Genomic DNA, 27,997 nt, shown 5'->3' on the forward strand with positions numbered 1-27,997 from the left:
CCTACTCAGGGTTGGTACTTTCTAAGACTACAACCACAATTTAATGGTTTTGGATAAACCATTAAAGATTGGCTTAATGCCATTATCGTGCTCACCTGTAGAGGACCCATCTCATCTAATGTCTCGTCTTATACACACACAGACCACACACATCTCACAGCTTGTTCAGCACTGGGACAGCTAACTTCATGCTTTTTTTTGTTTCCAGATAGATGATTATTTTGGAGGGGGAAATGCTCAAAACATACTAATAATCCAAACACATTTATTTCCCCTGGTCATATAATTTAACAGCTCTTTGATATGGGACAAATCAGTTTCTCCCCTTAGGAATTTAGAGGTCTACAGGTTCTTACTCAGAACTAAATGAAATACAATTATATGAACAGGGTTTTTCTAAATCTTAATTTTCAAAGAAGTGTAAAGGGGTATTATTCTTAAAGTAATACTATAAGTCATTCTTTTACTTTCCCAAAACAGAATAAAAACCTCAAACAAATTAGATTAGAAATAAAGTTTAACATCACTTCTTCCTGCTAAAATATAATCATGTTGGCGTTGTCACATGCTCAAGAAAAACTTAAAACTGTTATATTTGTACCTGAGTTGAATTTTTATACTGGTAGAACACTAATATTTTGAAATATCCTCTGATATGATTTATAGACTTGGTAATTTTATTTTATTTTTATTTCTCCCTCGCATTTCCTTTTGTCATTAAGTGTAAACCTTGTGGGAGGCTGAGGGTTACTCCTCAGGGTAGGGAAGAGTAAACACTGCATAGTACAAAGAATAACTGTTCAACTTTGGCATCCAAGTTGAGATTTTTAAGCTCTATAGGGAAATAATGGTTGTGAAAATCAGGTTTTGAGAAGAAAAAATGATTTTCTCAGACTCTCAAAATCATATCTTCATAGGTTGAGTTGCACAAAATTTTTAACATTCAACCATTTTTTGACCAATGAAATGTAACTTTATTATTGTTCAATTTATAGTGTATATCAAGAACTCAAGCTTGGAGAATTGGCCCTAGATTACAGCATGAAGAAGAAAGGGAGGTCATGTGATGTGATATAAAGAAAATGCTTACCTTTTTGTTGCTAGAAGGAGGAGCTGAAGAGAGAATAGGGAGAAAGGTCTGTGAAGGCAGACACAAGATCAACCCCTGGGCGAGAGCAGTGGACAGGGAGATACACACCCAGGTGGGTCTGGGGCCAATTTCACTGCCTCACCACACAGAGCCTGAGGACTTTTCAAGGCCCTTCACAATACCTTACGTTGACTGGCCACAAGTAGGAGCACTTCTGTTTCCAAACTGCAAGGACTGAGTTACCCTAAATGGGCAAGTTTAAGTTCACTTCTTCCCCTTGCTACTATGCAAGAATAGAAGATCAATAAAAAGAAGAAATCAATTAAATTTTGAGGTATTCCATACTAGATTTAGATAAACGTGTTCTTCAAAATGGGTTGCATTTAGGAAGAAAACAGACTTTTCCTATTTTTAACATGTTTGCTACTTTTTAACTTGCTACCTAATTTGCAGTCTTTTGTGTCCTTAGTATACAATAGTTCCAATATCAACAGCTGTAAAGTGACACAATTCATTCATTGTCACATTGCTAGTTAATGGAAAAAAAAAACTAGAAGCAACTTTCATATTTTCTGAGCTTGGTCCAGGGCACTTCCTAATAGCATTACTTTATTTTTAAGCTTTAGTTATAAAGTGCTAAGACAATGATGCACTGAAGTTTACTGGACTAATGATAAATTCTTCTTTTTAAAATTTTCTGGTCAAAATAGATGAATAGAAGTGTTCAAAGCTTGACAGAATGGTTTATATATATATTTTAATTCTTAAGGGAGACCACAATCTCAATTCATCTCTACAATGGCTTTTATTGCCTCTTCTATGAAAAGGAATCAATACAAGGATCAAATTTCCGTATTTTCAAAATGTGCTCATTTTAATTTGGCACAGTTTCCTCATTTCCTCTGTGGATGCCAAGAAAAGCACCTGTGTGAAAAAGGCTTATGTTAAACTTAGACAAAACAGGCCAAGTGCCTATAAGAAGATGAAAACAATCAGAATGTGTTGCAAAGAAAAGTTGACCTTTCTGAGCCTCCAAAGCCTCAGATTTGCATCTTCTGCATGAAGCTAGAGGCTAGACTCTTCCTGTCTTATTTATTATCTGAAAATAATATGTGCCTTTATGGCTGTCAAGATGATGAATGTAAAATCCTCTATCAACCTTTAAACAAGATCACTGCTTGGTGGGTCCTTCGAAGCTTTTGGCATCTTCACTAAATAAAAATTGCAAAAGCTCAACACACAAGAATGGGTGGCAGCTCTTTAGACTGGCTTCTTAAGTAAATTAACTAATACAAAGAATTCAGATCCAGATAAAACCAATGTGGCTGGCTTTCTCAGATCTGTGGGTTAGTGCATCCATCTTTACTAGCAAGTGATTGGTGCAATATAAAAGGAAACTTCCAGCTGTGCTTATAAATGGTTGGGTGTGTAGTTAGGGAAATCCATACAGCCATAAACTCCCAGTGTTGAATTAGTGATTGTTCAGAACTGAACAAATATGTAGAAGCGTAAATAACTGAATGTAGCACAATTCCCCAAAAAGTCCCATTGTTTCCCCGCTGCAGTAAACATGGAGATTTCTTTTCCCATGCAGGAGCCACAGGAAAGGTGGTATCCAGTAGTAAGTAGAGGACCACTGACTCTCCAGATCACAGTATTTCACATGACCCCATACACAGGCTAACAGCAGTGTCCTGCCAAAGTATAACCCATGGGGAATAGGCCTTTGAGGTTGTTTAAAAGTGGCAGACTGTGAGAGAGAAGCATATTTCCTTTCTGGGAGCCTAATTTAGCTGGAAAATGAAGATAGGCAGAATGTGAGTTTCCTGTAGCTTCATGCATTGTGTAATTTTATTAGACATAAAAAAAAAACTTCCTCTGAATGACTTATATTAACCAACTGAGATGTTTACTTTTATGTAAAATGTGACCTTCAAACTTTGTAAACAATATCATCCAATAAGAACACAAAATATTAATAGCTACCTAAAATGCCCATCACGGTCAGTCCAATTATCAAATCCTGCAATGGAAATCGCTTTCTTTAATTTCACAAGGCATGCATTGAGTCCCACAATATGTGTATGTATGTCAACAAATATTTGTGGAACATCCATTGTGGGTCATAAAATTGTTCAAGCCCAGGGGACATGAAGACAGGTAACACAGTGTCTCTAACCCCAAGGAATTTTCATGCCAGAGTGAGGAACAGACATGTAGACAGGCAAACACTAAGATTAATGCGGGGTGTTATGATGGCTGAAGAGAAGCTGGGAGCTAAACCTGCTGTTGGTATATAAGTCTCTGTAATCCTCATGGCTCTGGAGACATTACCAGTTACTTGTAATACTAATGGACAAATCCTGCATCCTTTTCTTTGAAGTGATCAAAAGAAGCTGAAAAAGCATGTATTATATTCTTCTCAGCACCATAAGTTCATGCACTCTATAATTTAGATATATTTATTGATAGATATAGATATACAAAGAGACAATTTTTCCTTCTAGGTCCATAAAGGGGTACAGTAAACTTACTAAACAATGTACAGTAAACTTGAAAAAGGGAGTGACAGATAATACAACAATTCTCTATCTTTTGCCTTATACCACTTTTTTTTTTTTTTTTTTTTTACAGACAGGGTGGTGTTACTCTGTCACCTAGGCTGGAATGCAGTGGTGTAATCATAGCTCTCTGCAGCCTTGAACTTCTGGGCTCAAGCAATCCTCTCACTTCTGTCTCCTCAGTAGCTGGGACTACAGGCAGCACACCACCATGCCCAGATAATTGTTTTTGGGCTTTTTTAAGTTCTTTACTCACATATCTCCCACCTCTCACCAAATTTTTTTTTTCGGATGGAATTTTGCTCTGTCGCCCAGGCTGGAGTGCTGTGGTGCAATCTGGGCTCACTGCAACCTCTGCCTCCCAGGTTCAAGCAGTTCTCCTGCCTCAGCCTCCCGAGCAGCTGGGACTACAAGCTCACATCACCATGCCCAGCTAATTTTTTTTTTTTTTTGTATTTTTACTAGAGACAGGGTTTCACCATATTGGCCAGGCTGGTCTCGAACTCCTGACCTCATGATCCACCCATCTCAGCCTCCTAAAGTGCTGGGATTACAGGCGTGAGCAACTGCTCCCGTCCCAAAAAAAATTTTTGTCAGGAAACAAGGAAACAACATCAAGCAAGGAAACGCTACTGACAGTATATTCAGGCTATTTTTCCAGTAGCCTCCCCTTAAAGCATAAATTATGAGTCCTCCTTAACAGAGTACAACAATGGGTTGTATAGCTGTTTTCCTTATCTCTAGTGAGAATAGATTCCTGGGTTTAGCAAAAAAAAAAAAAAAAAAAAATGAAGCTGTACTTTACACTTCTTTTTTTAACTGTAATGTTTAGAGGTTATACTAAAGATGTTTAGAGCTTACTCTGGGAAGCCAAGGGCTTCTGCACTTGCAGACATCACAGGAGAACACCGAGCCTCTGTGATAGTGGGAGGTTTCTCGGCAAGGGAGGCAGCCTCTTATCAGAGGTGGATTCCTTGTGGTGATAAGAAGGTGTTCATTGGAGCTATTATATCCAAAAGATGCAGGATTACCTGGGGAGGAGGAACTCTTCACTCTCTGCTTAGGTATTTGAAGCAACTGGAAATTTCTGCTATAGGTTCTTTCTTCCATTCAACTCTCAATGAGTTCCACAACGCTTCCAATGAAACTTCCTATGGCTTGCTGTATATACTGCAAAACCAGGCTTATACCTAATCATAGAATAAAACACAGTCAGTTCCACATTGCTCTACCCTTCACCATGTTAATTAGGGTGGGTGACACTGTAGGTGTGTTCTGCACTGGCCCTGACCAACACATGGTCCCATCATCAAAAGTCAAACTGTCCAAAAGCTTTTCCATGCCCTATTGACAGCTAGCTGTATTGTTTAGCCATAGAGGAAATGTTCTGGTTTATATGTGAACTTTCTGGAGATAGCATGATTCAAGGACAAGACAAATGGTTTTGGGGTCAAGCAGATATGAACTTAAGTCCCAGCTCCATAATTTTTCAGCTGTGACCTGGGGTAATTCTGCAAAAGCATGTATTATGATGCCTAGTCTACAGACCAACAAACTAAAGCCCAGAGAAGCTCCAGGAACACAATAAGAAAAGGAAGGTCTAGGAAGAATTCAAATGCAGATGCCACTTTACCATATTTTCCAAAAGATTGTGTCTTCTCCTCCCTGGCCTTTGAATGTTCCACTTGTTCAGATTACCATCTGTGATAAACCTACGTTTACCTCTTCATTGTTGGCCACCTTAGTAACTGAGTGGTTCTACATCTTGAGGCCTCACTGACCACCAAAGAGAAAGAAAATATCCTGAGTATCCTGGAAAAGGGATTTTTAGGTTCACTTCTACCTAGACCGCTGCTTTTTATTAGAAATGGAAGTGAGATCAGATTTTTAAACCCAGCTGCAGTTACTGTGGTTAAAGCTGATGTGGAGGTCAAGTCTATTTGAAAATTTTAAAACATATGAAAAGACATTTAGAATCCCTGGAGATAAAGAGGAAAGAGCCTTAGAAGAATTTTCTCCTGGACATCTCTGGAGATCTTAGGAGTAGTTAACAAGAATAGGTCTTTTAGATTGGGATCTGTTGTCAACTTCCTCAGATAAAACCAGATGAACTGCCTGAAGACAAGATAGTTCTTCCAACCAGTAGTTCATGCATAATAGCACATGTGCTGGAGTTAATAAGCTTGGCAAGACCCAAACATCTTGATTCCTTGACTTACCCCATGTGGAGGTAGATGGAAAAAACAATAAAGAACAGGGATGAAGGAATACATAGCTATGCCTAACAATTTGAGTTTGCTTTGACTGGTATTTTATGGTATATTTGTATGAATGTGAATAAAAATGGAGAGGGGGGTAGAAATTAAAATAATGGGGAGAAAGGCAGAATTATGATAACTTGGTAAATAGTCCAAAACCAAAATAACTTCTCCTTGGAAATTATAGCAGAGAGAATGAGTAGGAGGAAAGACTGATCTAGTGATAATGAATTTCATGGAGAAAATAAGGCTCACATTTTTTGGATGTGGAGAGCTGATTGGTTCAGGATGTTTGTAATGGAGAAACTCACATTCTTGCTTAATAAATCTTGCCTTGCAGAGCTACATATGAAAATTTCTTCTATACTGTCTGCCCTGACCAGTATGTCTATAATGTCTTATCTGAAGCTTGGGGGCCAAATATGTTTCAGAATGTGGACTTTTTAAGATGTGAAAAGTAACCCAGGTATGGTCTGGGACAATATTCTAGTATCAAATATAATAATATTTACACCAATGTATAAATACTATAAATAGCCTCCCATCAGTTCATATCAGGTTTTGCTGCCAAATGAATTGAGATTAGGTCAGGTCAGATTTTGCCACCAGATGACCTATGAAAAACTTAAATTTTCCAGAGGATTTAAAAAATAGAACTATGAGATTGTGAACCTGTACAAATGGTAACTTTTACTTGACTATTCTACTAAACAAAAATATCAGTTGATTTACAGGAAGATGGAAGACTTTGATTTGGGCAACGTGCTTGGAGATAGGGTACAGTCAATAATAACAGTAGTTAACATTTCTAGAGCAATTACTATGTCACAGCACTATTCTAAGAGCTTAACATGAATTAACTCACTTGAGCCTCTTACAACATTATGAGATATATTGATGTATTGATGGGCCGACTGACACATGAATAAACTGAGGCACAGAAAGTTTATGTAACTCTGCCAAATGCATACAACAATCAATTGGAAGGGCCCAAGTTTGAACATGAATTGATTCCTTCCCTGACTATTAATATCATAATTTTATGTTCTACACAAGGAAAATAGGACTTATGTGTCATTCAAATTACATTATTCCTGACAATAGAAAACTAAGGGATATATTTTACATTTTCAGTTAGTATAATACAGGCATAACTCAGAGATATTGCAGGCTCAGTTCCCGGGAACCAGAATAAAGTGAATATTGCAATAAAGTGAGTCACATGATATTTTTGGTTTTCCAATACATATAAAAGTTATGTTCACACTATACTGTAGTCTACCAAGTGTGCAAAAACATGTTTAAAAAACAATGCACATACCTTAATTTTAAAATACTTTGTAGCTAAAAAGTGCTAACAATCATCTGAGTCTTCAGCAAGTCCTAATCTTTTTGCTGATAGAGCAACCTGCTGCCCGCGGGCCACATACAGCCCAGGACAGTTCTGAATGCAGCCCAACAAAACTTCATAAACTTTCTTTTTTTTGTTTTTGAGATGGAGCCTCGCTGTCGCCCAGGCTGGAATGCAGTGGCGCAATCTCTGCTCCCTGCAGCCTCTGCCTCCCGGGTTCAAGCAATTCTCCTGCCTCAGCCTCCCGAGTAGCTGGGACTACAGGCACGCACCGCCATGACCAGCTAATTTTTTGTATTTTGAGTAGAGACAGGGTTTCACCATGTTGGCCAGGATGGTCTTGATCTCCTGACCTCGTGATCCACCCGCCTGGGCTTCCCAAAGTGCTGGGATTATAGGCGTGAGCCACTGCGCCCAGCAATACTTCATAAACTTTCTTAAAACATCATGAGATTTCTTTTGCAATTTTTTTTTTTTAGCTCATCAGCTATTGTTAGTGTATTTTATGTGTGGCTCAAGACAATTCTTCTTCCAATGTGGCCTAAGGAGGCCAAAAGATTGGATCCCCCTATGACAGAGGGTCTTACCTGGAGGTTGATGGCTGCTGACAGATAAAGGTGGTGGCGGCTGAAGGTCTGGGGGGCTGTGGCAATTTTTTAAACTAAGACAACAATAAAGTTAGCTGCATTGATTAGCTTCCTTTCATGAAAGTTTTCTCTGTAGCATGTGATGCTGTTTGGTAGCATTTTACTCACAGTAGAAACTTTTTCAAAATTGAAGTCGGTCCTCTCAGAACCTGCCACTAATTTATCAACTAAGCTTATGAAATATTCTAAATCATTTGTTGTTATTTCAACAAGGTTCACAGCATCTTCACCAGGAATAGCTTCTATTTCAATAAAACATTTTCTCTGCTTATCCGCAAGAAGCAACTCCTCATTCATTGAGGTTTTATCATGAGATTGCATGATACACATCTTTAGTCTCCATTTCTAATTCTAGTTCTCTTGTTATTTCCACCATTTCTGCAGTTATTTTCTCCACTGAAGTCTTAAACCCCTCAAAGACATTCATGAGGGTTGGAATCAACTTCCTCTATACTGTTGTTAATATTGATAATTTGACTTCATTCCACAAATCACGAATGTTCTTTACGGCATCTGGAATGGTGAATTATTTCCAGAAAGTTTTCAATTTACTTTGCCCAGATCTATCAGAAGAATCATTATTATGAAAGTTATAACCTTACAAAATGTATTTCTTAAATAATAAGACTTAAAAGTAAAAATCACTCCTTCAGCCATGGGCTGAAGAATAGATGTTACATTAGCAGACATGAAAACAACATTAGTCTCCTTGTACATCTCTACCAAAACTTTTGGGTGACCAGGTACATTGTCAATGAGCAGTAATATTTTGAAAATAATATTTTTCTCTGAGTAGAGATCCCAGTAGTAAGTTTGAAATATTCAGAAAGCCATGCTATAATCTGATGTGCTGTTATTCAGGCTTTATTTTTCCATTTCTAGAGCACAGGGAGAGTAGATTTAGCATCATTCTTAAGGACCCTAGGATTTTGGAATGGTAAATGCACATTGTCTTTAACTTAATGTTATCAGTTGTATTAGCTCCTAACAAGAGTCATCCTGCCCTTTGAAGCCAGGCATTGATTCTCCTCTCTAGCTAGTCCTAGATGGCATCTTCTTCCAATAGAAGGCTGTTTTGTTGCCATTGAAAACCTGTTCTTTAGTGTAGCCTCCTCCATTTGTTACCTTAGCTAGATCTTCTGGATAACTTGCTGCAGCTCCTCCATCGGCACTTTCTGTTTCAGTTTGCACTTTTGTGTTATGGAAACAGCTTCTTTCTTTAATCCTCATGAACCAACCTCTGCTAGCTTCCAGCTTTTCTACTTCAGCTTCCTCACCTCTCTCAGCCTTCATTGAATTGAAGAGTCAGGGCCTTGCTCTGATCTGCCTTTGGCTTAAAGGAATGTTGTGGCTGGTTTGTACTTCTATCCAGACACTAAAACTTTCTCCATATCAGCAATAAGGCTGTTTTCTTTTCTTATCATTTATGTTTTCACTGAATAGCACTTTCATTTCCCTTCAAGAACTTTTCTTTGCATTCACAACTTGGCTAACCGGCGCAAGGGGCCTAACCTTTGGCCTACCTTGGCTTTCAGCATGCTTTCCTCACTAAGCTTAATCTTTTCTAGCTTTTGATTTAAAGTAAAACAAGTGTAACTATTCCTTTCACTTGAACACTTAAAAGCCATTTAAGGGTTATTAAATAGCCTAATTTTAATATTGTTGTGTCTTAGGAAATAGAGAGGCCAGAGAAGAGGGAGAAAGATGGGGAAATCGTCAGTAAGTGGAGCAGTAAAAACCCACATACTATTTATAGATTAAGTTTCCTGTCTTATATGGGTGCAGTTCATGGCACCCCAAAACAATTACAACGGTAACATCAAAGATCATCGATCACAGAACACCATAAAAGATATAATAATAATGAAAGAGTTTGAAACATTATGAGAATTACCTAAATGTGACATAGAGACACAAAGTGAGCACGTGCTGTTGAAAAAATGGCACTAAAACCGGGCATGGTGGCTCACACCTGTAATCCCAGCACTTTGGGAGGCTTAGGCGGGTGGGTCACTTGAGCCCAGGTGTTGGAGACTAACCTGGGCAATATAGTGAGACCTCGTCTCTACAAAATAAAATTAGCTGGGTGTGGCGATAGGCACCTGTAGTCCCAGCTATTCAGGAGGCTGAGGTGGGAGGATCACGTGAGTCCAGGAGGTCTAGGCTGCCATGAGCTGAGATCGCACCACTGCATTCCAGTCTGGGTAACAGAGCAAGACCCTGTCTCAAAAGCAAAAAACAAAACAAAACAAACTCAATGGCATTGGTATACTTACCCAATGCAGGGTTGCCAGACACCTTCAATTTGTAAAAAAAAAAAAAAAAAAAGTAGTATCTACAAAGTGCAATAAAGTGAAGCCCAATTAAATGAGATATGCCCCTGTCTTTCAAGATGCTTGCTTTTATCACGGAGTGTCCTTTTCTATTTGAGAACAACTGAAGTTTTGTATCTTGAAACTGAGTAAATTAACAGATTATTGACACAAACCATGTTAGCATGAGCAACATAAGAAGAATCAAGCATTTGCATTTCTCCTTGAGAGTAGGGACTGGTTTTTAGTCATTGTTTTATCCCCAAGGCCTAACTTAGAGGCTTGTATATATTACACACTCTATGGGATGAATGAATGTGTCCCAACCTCAAAAAAGCCCCAAAATGAAGGAGTCCCATTCAAACATGCTAATTTGCATTACTCCATTTACACTTTTCTCTTGGTTAATGTTAATCCATTAGGTTTTAGTAAATCAAACTTTTATATTGGTTCATATTTATATAAAAGTGTAGCATTGATGAGGAGGGGGCAGTGAACAGCTTTGCGTTTGGTTGAATGTATTATTTTAGCTGGTCCCTCCTGACTCCTACTCATGCTTATACGTTTGTCTGTATATATGCGTGTGTGTATGTGTGTGTGTCTCTGTATGTCTCTCTGTGTGCATATATGTATGTGCATGTGTGTATATATGTATGTGTACATGTGCATGCATGTGTATGTTTATGTTTGCATATGTGTGTATATGTGTGTCTCTGTGTGTATATATGTGTATATATGTGTGTGTCTGTGTGTATATGTGTGTGTGCATGTTTGTATATGTGTGTATGTATATATGTGTGTGTATGTGTATATATGTGTGTATATATCTGTGTGTGTATGTGTGTGTGTATATATGTGTGTGTGTGTGTGTGTGTGTGTGTGTGTACCTATGCACATGTAATATGTAACATCTCCAGATTAGATCAGGCCTTATTCCAGTAGCTCTCGGAAAATGATGCAGCTTATCCAGTTTGACTACTCTGGATACTTGACTGCCAGAGTCAGGTGCTTTCACCTGGTTCCCATGACTATCTCTGACAATATCTGAAGAGTTCTTTGACTCAGAACTTTGTCAAGATGATAAAGGTGAGAATCCCTTTATCATACCACAGGACAAACTACAGATAATTTTTTAAGTTACCTTGAACAAAATATGTACTTATAGTATTAATGTCCAATATTTATTAATTAAGAAATCTGTGGATACGAAAAAAAACTTCCAGAACCCATCCATATTTTGCACCACTGCCATGGTTCTGCAGGATCCATGGCTCCCAGCTTCTCCTGTCCTGTCTCAGTTTCAGACCGTAATGGTAGAGTCACTCTCTTGTCTCAGTGCTTCGGTACTCAAAGCAGATTCTCAGTATCACTATCTGCAGTTGTGCAACAGGCTTTCCTCAGAGCACGGCATTGTTCTCACAGAGCTTCTACAGCAAACTGGATTTTGCTACTCCATAGGAAAGTGCTGAGACATCAGAGTGTCACTCTTTTCCAAAGCATCCTCTCCAAAATCACTGGATGACTGCTCCTTCCTGTAGCTTTTCCCTCTGCTATTCTATCTCACAAGATATCACTCTCCATCTCTCTCTGTGTCCCTCTGTCCCTCTGTGTCCCTCTGTCCCTCTATCTGCTCTGTACTACAGTGGATAGATGCACTATTTTGACAGAGAATGCCACTTTCAGGTAAGGCAAGACCAGGTAAAGGATTGCCCATTGGCTAGCAGCCACTTACTCTCTGTTACTTTCTGTGGCACATCATTATACTTCCTCTCTGGTTATTCTTGGATCTGACAGACTTATGTCTATACATGCAGAGCTACACACACCTGCACTCCTATACCATCCTTGCAGAGAGAAGAGAATTTGAGAATTTAAGATGTCCTATTTGCTTTTCACACATTTCTTACACCAGTTGTTAACATAGAACCATTTTAGAAATAGTTCTTTTTCAGTTTTAATTAAAATTCTAACTTGCCAACATTCTTATTTTACCCACTTGAGAGATTTGTGCTCACACACAAATACATAATTCTGTGATTTATCATGAATAGATAAATAGAAAAAAATTATCTAAAAATATAAACCCAAGAATTAACATTTCATTGATTTATCATCATCAATGATGATGATCATCATTATGATCATCAATCATCATAATTTCTAGGAAGCTAAAAGGAACTGAAGAGGCTTTTTTTTTTTTTTTTTTGAGATGGAGTTTTTGCTCTGTTGCCCAGGCTGGAGTGCAATGGTGCAATCTCGAGTCACTGCAACCTCTGCCCTCCTGGGTTCAAGCAATTCTCTGCAAACTTGACTCCTGAATAGCTGGGATTACAGGTGCTTGCCACCACACCTGGCTAATTTTTGTATTTTTAGTAGAGATGAGGTTTCACCATGTTGGCCAGGCTGGTCTCAAACTCTTGACCTCAGGTGATCCACCCACCTTGGCCTCCTAAAGTGCTAGGATTACAGGCATGAGCCACCGCGCCCGGCTGCTAAAGAGGTATTAATAAGTTATTTTTGCTCACTTTTGGTCCTTTTTCTCTTTAAGAAAGGACTGGCGGCTGGGAGTGGTGGCTTATGCCTGTACTCCCAGCACTTTGGGAGGCTGAGGTGGGAGGATCACTTGAGCCCAGGAGTTTGAGATCAGCCTGGTCAACGGGGTGAAGCCCTATTTCTCCAAAAAGACAAAAATTAGCCAGGCATGGTGGTGTGCACCTGTAGTCCCAGCTACCTGGGAGGCTGAGGAAGGTGAGGCTGCAGTGAGTCATGCTTGTACCACTACACTCCAGCCTGGGCATCAGAGTGAGAGTCTGTTGGAAAGGAAAGGAGGAAGGAGGAAGGAGGAAGCAGGAAAGGAGGAAAGGAAAAGAAAGGAAAGGAAAGGAAAGGAAAGGAGAAAGGAGAGGAAAGGACAGGAGAAAGGAGAGGAAAGGAAAGGAGAAAAGAAAAGAAAAGAAAAGAAGGAAGGAAAGAGAGAGAGAAAGAAAGAGAGTAGTGGAGGAAGGAAGGGAAGAAAGGGAAAGAAGGAAGGGTAGGAAGGTAAGAAAAGAAAAGGAAGGAAAGGAAAAAAGACTGACAAGGTAGTTAAGTAGTTTGGGGGTCATGATGACATTAGTATACTAAATAAACCACTCCAACCCATCCACCTACTAAAGAAGTCACTCATAATCACCATCATTGCCTCCAATTTAACTCAACAAGAATTTAGCACTTACCATGTACCCACTATCTGGCAACATAGATGCAGAGTGAGCTGTTAAACAAGGCATAAGAAGCTTAAATGTCAACATGTGCATTAACAACAGAATGCATTATGTTAAGTATTAAAATAGTCTAGAATAAATGCTCAGAAGTCCAAAGTCCCTAATACAATCATAGAATTGTAGAGTCAGGGAAGTCTTTCATTAATTATATGGATTAACATTTTTCTTTTATAAATGAAGAGACTGACACACACGGAGGGGCTGATTTGTCCAAGGTTTTAGGAAATTACTGTAGTGGCCATCCATGTGAGTGTAGGCCCCGAACCTCCCCTTGCTTGTTTTGGGAGCTGCCTTCTCTCTCCATACTGGGTCAGGTAATTCATTCCCTGGCTCTCAGATGGTATTAATTTGCCCGAGAGTATATCTTAGAATATATAAATAATTTTTTAAACTTTGTGATGTATGTGGTAGCCATGCTGGAAATGCTGACACTTCTGTCATTAAACATTGTCGTGCACTAAAAAGTACATGCTACTAAAAATATTTCTTCCTATTTTGTTTGATGTTAAAAGTCTCTTCAAATGATAAATATGAAAGCCAATTTGGACCTCAACGAATTGGATTCTGTGTTAGTTCTCTAGCCAAAAAATAATTGATTAAATTTCCTTAATATCAACATGTTACAATGAATAACTTCTTAATCTTTGTCAAAATCAATAAACTGCATGTGAAACAACCAGCTTCTTATTCTGCTTAGAATTTTGATACAGTTGTGACTTTCCCTAGATTTTTCCATAAGTTTGATTTTTATGATTTGCTTCATTTTAAGCTATCTTCTAGATAACATTATTTAATTTATTAAAACTCTTACTAAGAAAATGACTACAAAATGAGACTTGTAATAATGGGGAGGAGCCTCTGTTTATTATTTATTTATTTATGTATTATTTCATTCACTCGTCTTCCTGATTTCCTTTCATTTCTGTTATAAATCGCAATGCTTAAGTACATTGCAATGTTGAAAGTTTAAACATGGCCAGGCATGGTGGCTCATGCCTGTAATCCCAGCACTTTGGGAGGCCAAGGCAGGCAGATCGCTTGAGCACAGGAGCTCAGAACCAGCCTAGGCAACATGGCAAAACCCCATCTCTACATAAAAATACAAAAAGTTAGCCTGGTGTGGTGGCACACACTTGTAGTCCCAGCTACCCAGGAGGCTGAAGTACGAGGATCACTTGAGCCCAGGAGGTAGAGGCTGAAGTGAGCTGGGATCACACATCACACTACTGCACTCCAGCCTGGGCAATAGGGTGAAACCCTGTCTTAAACAAACAAACAAAGCAAGGAGGAAAGAAAGCTTAAACATCAATTGCATAGCTCACTCACTTATTCAGAGATGAGCCTTGTCATCTAAATGAACCAATGGGATGTGGGGAGTATTTGTTGAAGCTAGCAGGAAAGACAAGCTGCCTGTTTTTCTGTAGTAAATAAATACCGGTAGAAACATTCTTTGACACTAGACAGAAAAGAGAATTCTCTCTAGAAGATAATGGCAGCCATCTGAGTACCAAAATAGTATCAGGCTTAGGAAGAAGCTGGCACTGTAAAGGGAGAGCAAAGAGACCAAAAGAAGCCACATTTTCAGTTACATTATTGAGGCCACTAGTTCAAGACTTGCCTGAAGCTATCTCTGGAGCCAATACATTTTCTTTATTAGTTAAGCCAGTTAGAATTGGGCTTTCAGGTTGTTGAACAAAAACAGTAGTAAATGATACACTATTATTGAAATTTGGTATAAAGAAAAGTTTTGTTCATTGTGGCAGACCCTATTAGTCACCTACACAAAAGATTCTGTTCTTCCTTGTGAACGGAACTCCAATTTTACTCATAGTTCATTCATACAGTATTTTAGGGGTCCTCCCTCACCCATTTCAGAATGCTAATTTTCATTAGTCTTTTTTTTTTTTTTTCTTGAGACAGAGTCTCACTCTGCCTCCCAGGCTGGAGTGCAGTGGTGCCATCTTGGCTCACTGCAAGCTCCGCCTCCCGGATTCACGCCATTCTCCTGCCTCAGCCTCCCGAGTAGCTGGGACTACAGGCGCCCGCCACCATGCCCTGCTAACTTTTTGTATTTTTAGTAGAGACGGGGTTTCACCGTGTTAGCCAGGATGGTCTTGATCTTCTGACCTTGTGATCTGCCCACCTCGGCCTTCCAAAGTGCTGGGATTACAGGCGTGAGCCTCCGCGCCCGGCCTTTTCATTAGTCTTAACCAATCATGGCATTGATTTTTTTTTTTCTTTGTCAAGGGCTGCTTTAGGAATATGATGGACATACATGCACAAAAATATGAGGTAAATTCTGTTGCAAGCATCACGGAAGCTTTCCTAACTTTTAAAAAGATGAGACAAGACAGGACTTTCTCTTCCAACTTTCAGACAATGCCTTATGAAGAATGCAACCACCTTGCAGATAGAAAGGAGAAACAAAAGAATCCCAGAGAAGCCAACCTGGCTCCCCAGAGCTACCAAATGAGCTAACCCTGGAATTCCCCCAGGTTTCACCTTAGGTACAATAATAAACTTTCCATTGTATAAGTTGCTGATAGTCACATATCCTGTTATTTGGAGCTGGATCACTCTGACCAATATATTCACAGACAATATTGATTCTTTGAGGTTAATCTCAAGTAAAATATTACCTTACTTAATTGATTAAAGCTAATCTGAGTCCTAAAGAGGAAACAAGTACTTTCACCATTTTTGGCACACTTTATCATTTGATGGTTTAAGTGGTTTGAAGAACTGAAGTGACCAATTAATACATAATGCTGATTAAATTTAAATAATTTCTATATCTTAAGCCTCAGATGAAATGGAAAGTTTGCCTGCTGAAAACGAATGTGTGCCCTAAGCCTTTGTTTATCCAGGTGGTTAGAACCAGAAAACACTGGGAGGGTCATCTTGGGAAGCAGCCAGAACAAATGCCCATAAGTCTTAATGGTAACCGTGCTGCCAATTCCTAAGATTCTTAGCATTTGCTAGATCAGAAATTAATAATAGATGGAAACAAAAAAGAATGAGACAACTGGCCTGTTGTTTTATCTTTTAAAGCCAGGAATATTCCATAAACAATTGAGAAGTGATTAGCATATGACCCCCAAGGGTATGTTGTGACCCCAGATCAGTAGGAGATGCTAATGGGACAAGACTTCCATGGACTTACATATTTACCTGACAGTAGAGGCAGGATGGAGTGATGTGGTTGAAAAGTGGCCTGCATGTTTCAGACCTGTCTGAACAATGGATAGGTGCTGTGATCTATACAAAGATTCTGGTGGTATCATTCATAATAGTAGCAATAAGAGGCAAATATTTACTCTGTTCCGGTGTAATTGCTGAACAAGTTCTTAGTAAAATGACATGGAGTAGGTGCTCTGTAAATGTTTATCTTTCCCCACTTTCCTTTTATCCCCCTCTTTACTCCTATCTCACAAGTACAGAGGAGGAAGCTATGGAAAAAAAATCATAGCCACAGAATTTTTTGACATCTCTAAAAATTATATTATTTTTCTATTTTGATTTATGTACAATACATCTCAACAAATATATAAAACAAAACTTATATGCAACAACAGAAGCATTTTGCTGAGTATTCCATCTGTCCTCTTGACAATTTTTTATGCCTCTCTAAAGTGCCTTGGATTTGAGTCTAACCTGAAAATAACTCTATTACCATTAGCTTTAATAATGTTCTCAAGGAATATAACTTACCTGATAAAGTAGGTAACTATTGGAAAAAACACCTATGAAAATTAATGTTTATAATAGAATATCAGAAGATTTCCTAAACTAAAAAATCTTGTTTGAGTCCCCTCTTGGAGAATTTCTCTATAACTTTTGAATTATCTTTTGTAATTTCAAGATGAAATTGTATCTTGATATGAAAAAAATAAAATCAAGCTGATAAAATTGGAATGGCATTCCACAAGGAGGAGGAATTGAAAGACGAGTATTCCACAAGCTGTCCTCAAGAACGGGGCATTTTTATGCTGCCAAGTTAGCTTAGCAGACACATCCCTGTCCCTCAGCCCATCCTTGAGTCAATTTCTCACTGTTGTTTTATTACAGTAAAATTTAAACTAAAAGCAAGTAGCACAAAGTAAAAGCAAGTAGCACAAAAAAAGTTGATAAAAATAAAGTTAGATATGATTGTTCATCTTGGAGAAGATTGATAAGCAGTCATTGCTTTTGTAAGTTCTTCCTCTCAAGTGTGCAAGGGCCCTCCCACGTCGACATTATTTTTACCCACTTCAACTCTGCTATTGCTTCTCGTTCGCTTAAACCACTTTCATGGCTGTCTCTCTAAAACCTACTTTCCCCTTGGCATCTTCTGAACTGAACCCTGTAGTTTCAAACAATAAATGTCCAAGTGCTCAGGCATGTCACTACAAAGCCCATTTGTATTATCTTAATACAAGAAAAGCTTCAGCCAAATTAAATTTAAAGGCATTTAATTGAGCAATGAATGATTAGCAAATCAGGCAGCCCCCAGAATCACAGCAGATTCACAGAGACTCCAGTTCAGCCACGTGGTGGAAGATTTATAGACAAAAAAAGGGAAATGGGGCGTGCAGAAATTTGAAGTGAGGTACAGAACAGCAGGATTGGTTACAGCTCCGCCTTTGCCTTATTTGAACACAGTTTGAACACTCAGCAATGTATGAGTCATTGAAGTTCTGCCGCTGCAATTGGCCAAGACTCAGCTATTGTTACAGGTGCATACTCCTAAGTTAGGTTTTCAATTTTTGTCTATCTATTAAGCTAGGTTGCAGTTTGTCCACAAGGACTCAAACATAGAAGTATGGAGTCCTCAGGCCACATTTAGTTCACTTTAACAATCTGATAAGTGACTCCTCATCAGCTTGTTACTTCCTTATGGCTATTATGTCTCCTAAAGTGACTTAAACCGAGGAGGAAACATGGGGTTTGGACATGTCCTTGATAAACTAGTACCCCATAGAGATTGAGAACGTATTTTGTGAAAGAGAATTATAAGGATGTGGAGGTGAAGGAAGTTGCAGGAGCATGTTGCATGACCTAACGGGGGTGGAGATAATAAGACAAACTTAAAAGGTATTTAGAAGTCTAAATCAACAGAACTTTGTGAAAAGACGGATGAAAGAGCATGGGGGTAAAGGAGAAACTGGGTATGAGATAAGCTTCAGAGGTTAGATAATGAGTTGAGTTTTTGGCATATTATATCTGAGGTGCTTATAAGATATCTCAGTAGGAGTTCAGAGTCTAGAGCTCAGGTCCGACCTAGAGTTGTAAATTTGGCATTATTCATACCAATATATTGCAACCAAGGCCACAGGAGGGAATGAAATGACCTATAGAGAGGGAAAAGAAAGTTTAAGACCAGGAGTTTAAGAATCTCCATGCAGTAATTACTCTGAGGAAAAGCTCACAGGGGACCAAAGGAGTAGGCAGAAAGTTTGGAGAAAAAGAGTGTCCTGTTACCAAAATGAAGGGGAGAGTGCTCTGAGGAAGACTGTCAACAGGGCAAATGTTTAGAGGTCAAGTAGATGAACTTGAAGCAAATCCATTGGATTTGGTGGCATTGGTAACCTCAGTAAGACCAAGTTTAGTAAGGTCCTTTTGAAAACAAAAATTAGATTGTAATACGTTGACATGAGAAAAATACAGCCGTTCCCTTTTATGCATGGTTTTGCTTTCTTCAGTTTCGGTTACCAGAAGTAAACCATGGTCTGAAAATAGGTGAGTATAGTACAATAAGATATTGAGAGAGAGAGAGATCATGTTCACATAACTCTTATTACAGTATGTTGTTATAACTGTTCTATTTTACTATTAGTTATTTTTGTTAATCTCTTATTGTGCCTAATTTATAAATTAAACTTTTTCATAAGTATGTGTGTACAGGAGGAAAACATAGTATATATGAGGTTTGGTACTATCTGTGGTTGCAGGCATCCACGGGGGGTCTTGGAACTATCCCCCGAGAATGAGTAGGGACTACTGTAGAGGAAAGAGGGTGAGTACAGACAACTCATCCAAGAGCTTTGACTGCGAAGGCAAGAAGAGTGACAGAGTAATAGCTGAAAAGGCATTAAGTAGCTTAAGAATTTTATTTCCTATTTAAAATGGTAGCAATTAAATGTTTAAATGTTCATGGCTTGGAGCCAGTAGAAAGATTAACATTTACAAAGAAGAGGGAACTATAATGGTTTAAGATTCCAGAGGAGGCAGGAGGGTCTGTAATCCAGATCTCTCTGGATGTCTGGAAACCCTCAGTTGCCCTTAGTTGCAATCCAAGTCCACTGGTGACATTGCACTAAATGAGATTTCTGGCTCTCCTATAATGGATAGATTTTCTTCATTATTCAGATGTTCTTTGGTTTTTTTTCCCTTCTCTATTCATTTCCTGTTGCTGCTATGACAAATTATAGTATAACAGTAGCTTAAAATGACACAAACTTGTGATCTTATAGTTCTTTTTTTTTTTTTTTTTTTTTGAGACGGAGTCTCACTCTGAGTGAAGTGGCCCAATCTTGGCTCACTGCAGCCTCCACCTCCCAGATTCAAGTGATTCTCCTGCCTCAGCCTCCTGAGTGCCTGGGATTACAGGCACCCACCACTATGCCTGGCTAATTTCTGTATGTTTAGTAGAGATGGGGTTTTACCATGTTGGCCAAGCTGGTCTCGAACTCAGGTAATCCGCCTGCCTCAGCCTCCCAAAGTGCTGGGATTACAGGCCTGAGCGACCACGCCTGGCTGGTGATCTTTTATAGTTCTTATAGATGGAGGTCAAAAGTCCAACAGGTGTCACCTGACTAAAATCAAGGTGTCAACAGGACTGTGTTCTTTTTATAAGTTCTAGAGGAACATATCTTTCTTTGTCTTTTCCATCTTCTTTAGGCCACTTACATTCCTTGGCTTGTAGCCCCTGTCTCTGTGTTCAGAGCCAGCATTGTGACATTTTCAGATATTTTTCTCTGACTCTGACCCCCTACTTCCCTTTTATCATCCTTGTGATTACATTGGGTCCACCCAGATAATCCAAGACAATCTTCCCATCTCAAAATTCTTAATCACATCTGCAAAGTCTCTTCAGTCATATAAAGCAACATATTCAAAGGTTTCGGGGATATCTTAGGGGCGTATTATTCTGGACATCTTTGTGGACAGGCAGTCATTATTCTGCCTACCACACTTCCCTGTTTCTAAAGTACTCTTCCAAGCTTGCTGAGAATTATGGATGGAGCTTCCCATGCTCTACATTTTATATAAGTGAAAATCTCAATAACAAATTTTAGCCATGTTATTCTTTTTTTTTTTTTAAGACGGAGTCTCGCTCTGTTGCCCAGGCTGGAGTGCAGTGGCATGATCTTGGCTCACTGCAACCTCTGCCTCCCAGCTTCAAGCAATTCTCCTGCCTCAGCCTCCTGAGTAGCTGGGACTACAGGCACCTTGCCACCACGCCCAGCTAGTTTTTGTATTTTTAGTAGAAACACGGTTTCACCAGGCTGGCCAGGCTGGTCTTGAACTCCTGACCTCATGATCCACCCACCTCAGCCTCCCAAAGTGTTGGGATTACAGGCATGAGCCACCATGCCCGGACTCAGCCATGTTATTCTTAAACGATAGAGGGGCCACCACTCAGAGAATATGTTCTGAGAATTATGTGATGATCCCACTTGGCTGGTACTGGTAGCATTTTATTTCATCATTTTTAGTATTCAGAACAAAATAAATGAACGACAAAAATAAGTTCTGTGTGAACCTGCCGCTGCTGTAGTATCTTTTGCAGTTTATTATGTCTTATGCACACATTTTTAAGCTCTGGCCAAAAGACACTGACTTCAGACCTAGCACCATATCTAGGGGGCTAGGAAAAGAGAGACTCCTCTGCAGACCAGTAGTGCTATCTCACTGTCATCCCAAGGCTGATCAAAAGAAAGAAAATGAGGGATGGGGTGAAATTTTAAAAAGAGAAGGGGCTGTGTGTAGAGATGTATAGTTGCACATGTCAGTCAAAATTTGGTACAATAAAAGATTGCATTCAAGTGTCCTGTCATCAGGAACATTTAATAGCAATGTCAAGTCAGCTAAATCAAAATAACTTGTACCTCCTCTGTACAACGCCCATTCCTCTGCACAGTTTAAACAAGTAAAATCCTGATAAACAATAGCAATGGATCCTTTATCCCATCTTTCTCAAAAATTTTTTTCAGTCATTATCAAAGAATAGCCCTAACAATACTATTATTACTACAACATTGTTTTGTTTCTCAGTGCTACACAACACTAGAAACTGTCATATCTTTTTAAAATTAAGGCAAACAAATTATCTAAGTAGGCATTCCTTATTTCATAAGGAGGTATCCTTAACAAACCCTTGTGCACCACCAGGAAGAAAAACTTGAAAAAGTCCCACATTTGACACTAGTGCAACATGCAGTCCAAAAGATGGAAAATGGCCAGGCGCAGTGACTCACACCTGTAATCCCAACACTTTAGGAGGCCAAGGCAGGCAAATCACTTGAGGTTAGGAGTTCAAGACCAGCCTGACTGACATGATAAAATCCCATCTCTACTAAAAATACAAAGTTAGCCAGGTGTGGTGGCGCATGCCCATAATCCCAGCTACTCTGGAGGCTGATGCAGGAGAATCGCTTGATCCCTGGAGGCGGAGGTTACAGTGAGCCGAGATTGTGCCACTTGCACTTCAGCCTGGGTGATAGAGTGAGACTTCTTCTCAAATTAAACTAAACTAAACTAAACTAAAGTAAACTAAACTAAACTAAACTAAAATAAAAAGATGTAAAATCATCTTTACTTTTGTACCTTCAATTGACTTTGAGTCCATACTGATTCATTTTCAGATAAGCATAGAAGCAGTGCTTCATCTATTGTCTTCTATCTTTCTTCCATTCATTCAATCTCATGGACTCTCCCTCCTGGAATTTCCTAACCTCCCACCAGTGTCCATTTTTACCTTGTGGCTTCTGGCCAGGCTGCTGGTCACTGCATTCCATCCATTATTCTCTTCAAAGCCAGAGTTGTGGGAGGAGACTTCAGGTCCTACTCATAGGAGGAAGTAAGAGAGATTCCAGAAACCCTTTCTTCTGCTCAGATTGACTTCCTCTTGGTATAACTCAGGTACATGGTTATGCTAACAGTCTTCTCAACCTTACCAAGAACCCCTTCTGTAAAATATTCTGATGTGGCCTGAGACCCTGCAGTGGGTGGGAAGGAACTCTGCCCCAGAAAGGAACTGATGAGCTAAGTAAGTTAGCCTAGGTTATCCTACCCTCAATCCTAATGGAGCACTTTGTGCTACTGGAGAGTAGATAGAAGATGGGATACACACTGCACTCTGCTCACCAGCCAATGTCTGGCCACTGGGGCCTACCCCCACCTTCCACAAGCCTATATTCATTTTGTGGCGTCATCTTTGAGACATCATCACTTGCTTTTCCGCACAAACGACCAACACCCTGCCAGCCTTTCCTGTGCTAGCAAAGATGTGTATGCAAACATCTTTCTGTGATACTGTTCTTATCAGTCTTCTTGGACATATGTGCTGACTCCAGCAAGCTCCAGGAATAAGGGCCTGGATTCAGATTCTCAGGAGTGGGGGATTCACTTCCTCCCTGCATGGTGGTGGTAACTGTTAAACTTCTGTGGAAGCTGGGGAGTCACTGTGCTTCCAACCCAAAGTCCAATCTCTTCCTTCCTCTCCCTCTGGCTCATCCTCTCTTTCCCACCCCTACCCATAGGAAGGAAAAGAGAGTCTAAGGAAATAGATCTATTCATCCACTGAAACAGAAATGGAAGCAAAAACAGAAACAAACCCCTGAACACTCATCATTTTTTCTGTATGTTCTGGAGATAATTTAGCCAAATTGGAACTGGCAAGATATTGTTGGGATGTAAGCTAATTAAAGCAGCGGGGCTGGGTTGCAAGGACCATGGATGCATTCAATCAGCTAGTAACATTTAAAGGCAAAGCTTTGTCAAGTAGCCAGCACAATAGATGTGCTCTCCCTCCTCCAGCTGTGCATATTGCAGCCTTGTCAAGAATAGGCTTGCCTGGTGATTTCTGGCCTACCTGTTAGGATTTAGCCAAATCTTGGTTCACCATAAATCTTGCAGGTCAGCAGAAATTCACTTGTAGAAACCTGGCTGATCATCAGATTTCCTTGGGAAGCTCTGTAAAAATATAGATTCCCAGGCACCCTTCTAGAGTCACTCAAGCAGAATTTCAAGGATGAGATCTTGGATTCTCCATATTAACAGAGATTTCCCAGTGCCAGACTTGGGGAACAATTTTTACAGCTTATAGAAATCTAAATCCTAGATTGGGAAGACATCTAGGGGATCAATTTTTCTAACTTTCTGTTTTCTATCAAAAAAGAAAGTAGGCTGGGCACGGTGGCTCACACCTGTAATCCCAGCACTTTGGGAGGCCGAGGCAGGTGGATCACGAGGTCAGGAGATCGAGACCATCCTGGCCAACATGGCGAAACCCTGTTTCTACTAAAATACAAAAAAAAAATTAGCCGGGAGTGGTGGTGCGCACCTGTAGTCCCACCTACTTGGGAGGCTGAGGCAGGGGAATCGCTTGAACCTGGGAGGCAGAGGTTGCAGTGATCCGAGATCGTGCCACTGCGCTCCAGCCTGGGCAACAGAGTGAGACTCCGTCTCAAAAAAAAAAAAAAAAAGTAAACTCAGTGATATTACATGCAATGACAACAGTTTGTTGTGGGTTTTTTGAGACAAAGTTTCACTCTTGTTGCACAGGCTGGAGTGCAATGGCACGATCTTGGCTCACTGCAACCTCTGCCTTTCAAGTTCAAGTGATACTCCCACCTCAGCCTCCCAACTAGCTGGGACTACAGGCATGCGCCACCACGCCCGGCTAATTTTGTATTTTTAGTAGAGACAGGGTTTCTCCATGTTGGTCAGGCTGGTCTCGAACTCCCAACTTCAGGTGATCCTCCCACTTCGGCCTCCTAAAGTGCTGGGATTACAGGCATGAGCCACCATGCCCGGCCACCAGTTTATTTTTTCTAATGCAGTAGTGAAAGCATTATTTGAAGAAAAAAATACTCCTGGGGAGGGAATCTAGGATATTGTTGTATCCACCCTAAAGATACAGCAATTGTAACCTTCGGGCTGATGCTTTCTTAGGTGATTTGTGTTATATATGCACTTAACTTTCATTTATTTATTCACTTGACAAATGACCATCACTACAATCCATGCACTATTTTGGGCACAGGGGATACAGTACTGAACAAAACAATAAAAAAGCTCTGCTTTCATGGAGCTTTCATTCCACGAGGGGAGAGTGACTGCAAACAAGATAAAAACCAGATCTAGAATAGTCAGATACAGCATGTCAGTAAAAACAAGGCAGAAAACATGGATGTGAAGTGTTCAGCAATGGGGCTTGGGTTGAAATTGTAGGTAAGATGGCCAGGGAAGGCTTCACTGTGTGAAGGTGACTTTGGAGGGTTGAAGACCTGAAGGAACTGAGAGAGCTAGCCATGTATGCCTCAGGTATACAATTGTGCAGGCAGAGGAAATAGTAAATGCAAAGTCCCTGGGATAAGAACATGCCAGGCCTGGTAGAACAGCAGTGAGAATTGTGGAAATGTAGCAGAGGAAATGTTGCATTTACTCTGGAGAGGAGGAAGGAGGAATAGGTTACGTGCTATCGAAGTAAAGAGGTCCCAGATCACATAGGGCCTTGAAGATCAGTGTGAGACTTTGGTCTGCATGAGACGAAAAGTCGCTGGAGGATTGTAGGCGAGAGTGTCAAGACCTGACTTATATTTTGATGGGACCTCTCTGTGCAGAGTTGAAACCAGCCTAAAGTAGCAGAAGCAGGGTGACCAGAGAAGAAGCTATTGCGATACTTAAATACTAGGCGAGAGGGAATTACCACTTAAATAAATGATGAGCATGGGCACTGGAGTGAGTATATGCCTCAGACTGAGCATAAGAAGTAAGATAGGAATCTGTATTTCTCTTGGTCTGCTTAACTCCCACACACCTCTCACCGTGAGAGCATCTAATTGCCACATGAGTGATGCGAGTGGTTAGAGACAAGTGTTTTTCATTCATTCTACGTGTTCACTAAACCATAAACAAGTCCTAGAAGTGTCTTCATCAGCCAGGCCCCTCACTCTGGTCTGGAGACTGGTGGAGTACTAGGGTCTGAATGTTTGTGGTCCTCCAAAATATGTATGTTGACATCCAATCCCCAGTGGGTTGCTATTAAAAGGTAAGGTCTTTAGGAGGTGACAAGGTCATGAGGGCAGAGCCCTCATGAATGGGAGTAATGCTTTATAAAAGAATCTTGAGGGAGCCTATTGGCTTTTCCACCATATAAGGACACAGCTGGGAGGCACCATCTATGAGGAATGGGTCCTTACTAGACAATGAACGTGCCGGCACTTTGATCGTCAACTTCCCAGTCTCCAGAACTATGAGAAATAAAATTCTGTTGTTTATAAACTAAGGCATCCTAAGCAGACTGAGATATGCAGGCACCACAACTTCTCAAGGCCCAGATGAGCAGTAGGCAACAACTGCTTCCTACATGGTCTCTCTTGCCTCTTGTTTTCCTTTTCACTGGGTGTTCTACAGGCTCTCTGATCCACTGCTCTCAGGAGCACTACCCCATGTCATTCAGGCTGCAGCCCTTCCATCATGATCTCAACTAAGTATTTGTTCCCTTCTAAGTCACTTACTAAAACAGACAGATCTTCTTAAACTCTCAGGTTTGGGCCTGTTGCTAGGTGAAAACATATATTCTCTCCACTGTGCCATTACATCTCGAATTTTTCCTCTAAAATATAACTATTATAAGACTGATCTTCATTATATTATCAAAAGTTTCTAGCTAATTTTATATACTACATTTTAATTCTTTTTAGTGACCAAACCTCTTTGCCAACCAATTGTATTCTTATAATGCTGCTTGTTTTTTCCAAATCAATTAACACGTGCCTACTTCAGATGGATCCTAAATGTTGACAGCTTTAGTGGAAGGAAATTGAAGTACCTTTGAAGTCAGTCACTTGGCACTATAGATTGGTCTCTTTACAAGTAAAAACATTAAAAGGGGAGGACAGATGAAACTTCAAGACATAGGACTAATTTGATTTTCAAAAAGAAAAATATTTGTACTACAATACAAAAAAAATAAGTGAATCATTTATTTCAGAGAATAGCCATTTGCAAACGTTCACTGTAAAAATCTAGAGGATAGAAAACCTAAAAAGTTTTGTTTAGGTTTGTCAATTTAAGTGGGAGGGATATATTTCTAAAGAATATGTCCTAAAGCTGTGCCAAGTATGTGCAAGTCCAAGTATGGCAAGAGATGACCCTGGACTCTGTGGTGGTTGCAGACAAATAATACATAACTTTCAAAACCAGCCCCATAGTGAGTCAGAGTAGTGGGCATTTGTACAGAGGAGGAAGCTGACATTGTCTTTTAATCCAAACAGCAATCCTGGGTGGCTCTGGTGGAATGAGGTATTTAATCACCTCACCGGTGATCCTTGTTGGGTCTTTCTTGTTGAGTAAATACTTGGCAGCCTTAGTCATTAGCTTGAAAGGCAGAGGGAAAAGTAAACCTTCATGAGTGAGTACCCAGCTGAGGTGTTTGTTTAGGCTAATCCCAAATGCCCTTTAGGGCCTAACTCAGTGCTGCCCCTCCCCTACTTCACTGTGAAGCTGCAGCTGTGGAGCCAACATTTTATCTTATTTATTCTCTATGTGCAGGTTCCCAAACATAATTATTGGATGAATGAATGAACAAGAAGATGACTATGGAGGATACTTGGGATCTGGCTAGCAACAAGTATATTTCCCATTGTTAGAGGTAGTTGGGTCAGAAATTAGATCAGTGCTTCTCAGCATTTCTCTGTTCAATGCATACTTTTTGGTGGCACCCATAAAGAAATCAAAAGGGGAATATCCCTTTTTAGCAAGAAGTATTTAGAAAATCTAAAAGAACTCTTCCTCCTATTCATTGGGTCACTTTTCAGCCCTGCATCACTGTTTACAGAAAAGTGTTAACATCTTGGACTCGTGAAGCAATGTTTTCACACATTCTAGGTATGTTGACCTAATATGAAACCACTCCTTCTTGCTCTGATTAGCAACAAGTGATGCCCCACTGTTTTCCCAGTCTATGTATGGCAGTGTTCCCTCTGTCAGGTCTCTCTGTGACAGTGTACAGCTGCAGTGATCACAAAATTCAGATTTTTAACTCATTGATTACAATTGGCAGCCAACCTCTGAAGAGCTGGAGGGACACCAGTGACTGAGAGCCACTTGCTTAGAAAATTATCAAAGAGAGGCCAGGCACGGTGGCTCATACCTGTAATCACAGCACTTTGGGAGGCCGAGGCAGGTGGATCACCTGAGGTTGGGAGTTCGAGACCACCCTGGTCAACATGGAGAAATCCCGTCTCTACTAAAAATACAAAATTATCCGAGTGTGGTGGCTCATGCCTGTAATCCCAGCTACTCA

General features: G+C 40.0%; 1 protein-coding gene and 1 long non-coding RNA gene across 7 annotated transcripts in view, besides 1 other annotated feature; both read left to right on the top strand.

Annotated features, from left to right (window-relative positions):
* The window catches only part of CCDC192 (coiled-coil domain containing 192), a 239,292-nt gene that overhangs the window by 205,785 nt on the left and 5,510 nt on the right, over positions 1 to 27,997 (top strand). The window lies entirely within an intron of this gene.
* LOC124901059 (uncharacterized) lies at positions 1,160 to 27,314 on the top strand. The gene is made up of 3 exons (XR_007058925.1): positions 1,160 to 1,202; positions 6,250 to 6,375; positions 27,244 to 27,314. It is a non-coding gene; the product is annotated as an uncharacterized LOC124901059 (long non-coding RNA).
* Positions 26,735 to 27,388: an enhancer, noted in NCBI's record as "OCT4-NANOG hESC enhancer chr5:127270427-127271080 (GRCh37/hg19 assembly coordinates)". NCBI's record gives its function as "activates a minimal SCP1, AML or CMV promoter by ChIP-STARR-seq in naive and primed H9 embryonic stem cells {active_cell/tissue: H9 hESC(naive and primed)}" and the evidence as "EXISTENCE:reporter gene assay evidence [ECO:0000049][PMID:30033119]".

This window comes from Homo sapiens, chromosome 5 (genome assembly GCF_000001405.40).
Source record: "Homo sapiens chromosome 5, GRCh38.p14 Primary Assembly".
Taxonomy (NCBI): Eukaryota; Metazoa; Chordata; class Mammalia; order Primates; family Hominidae; genus Homo; species Homo sapiens.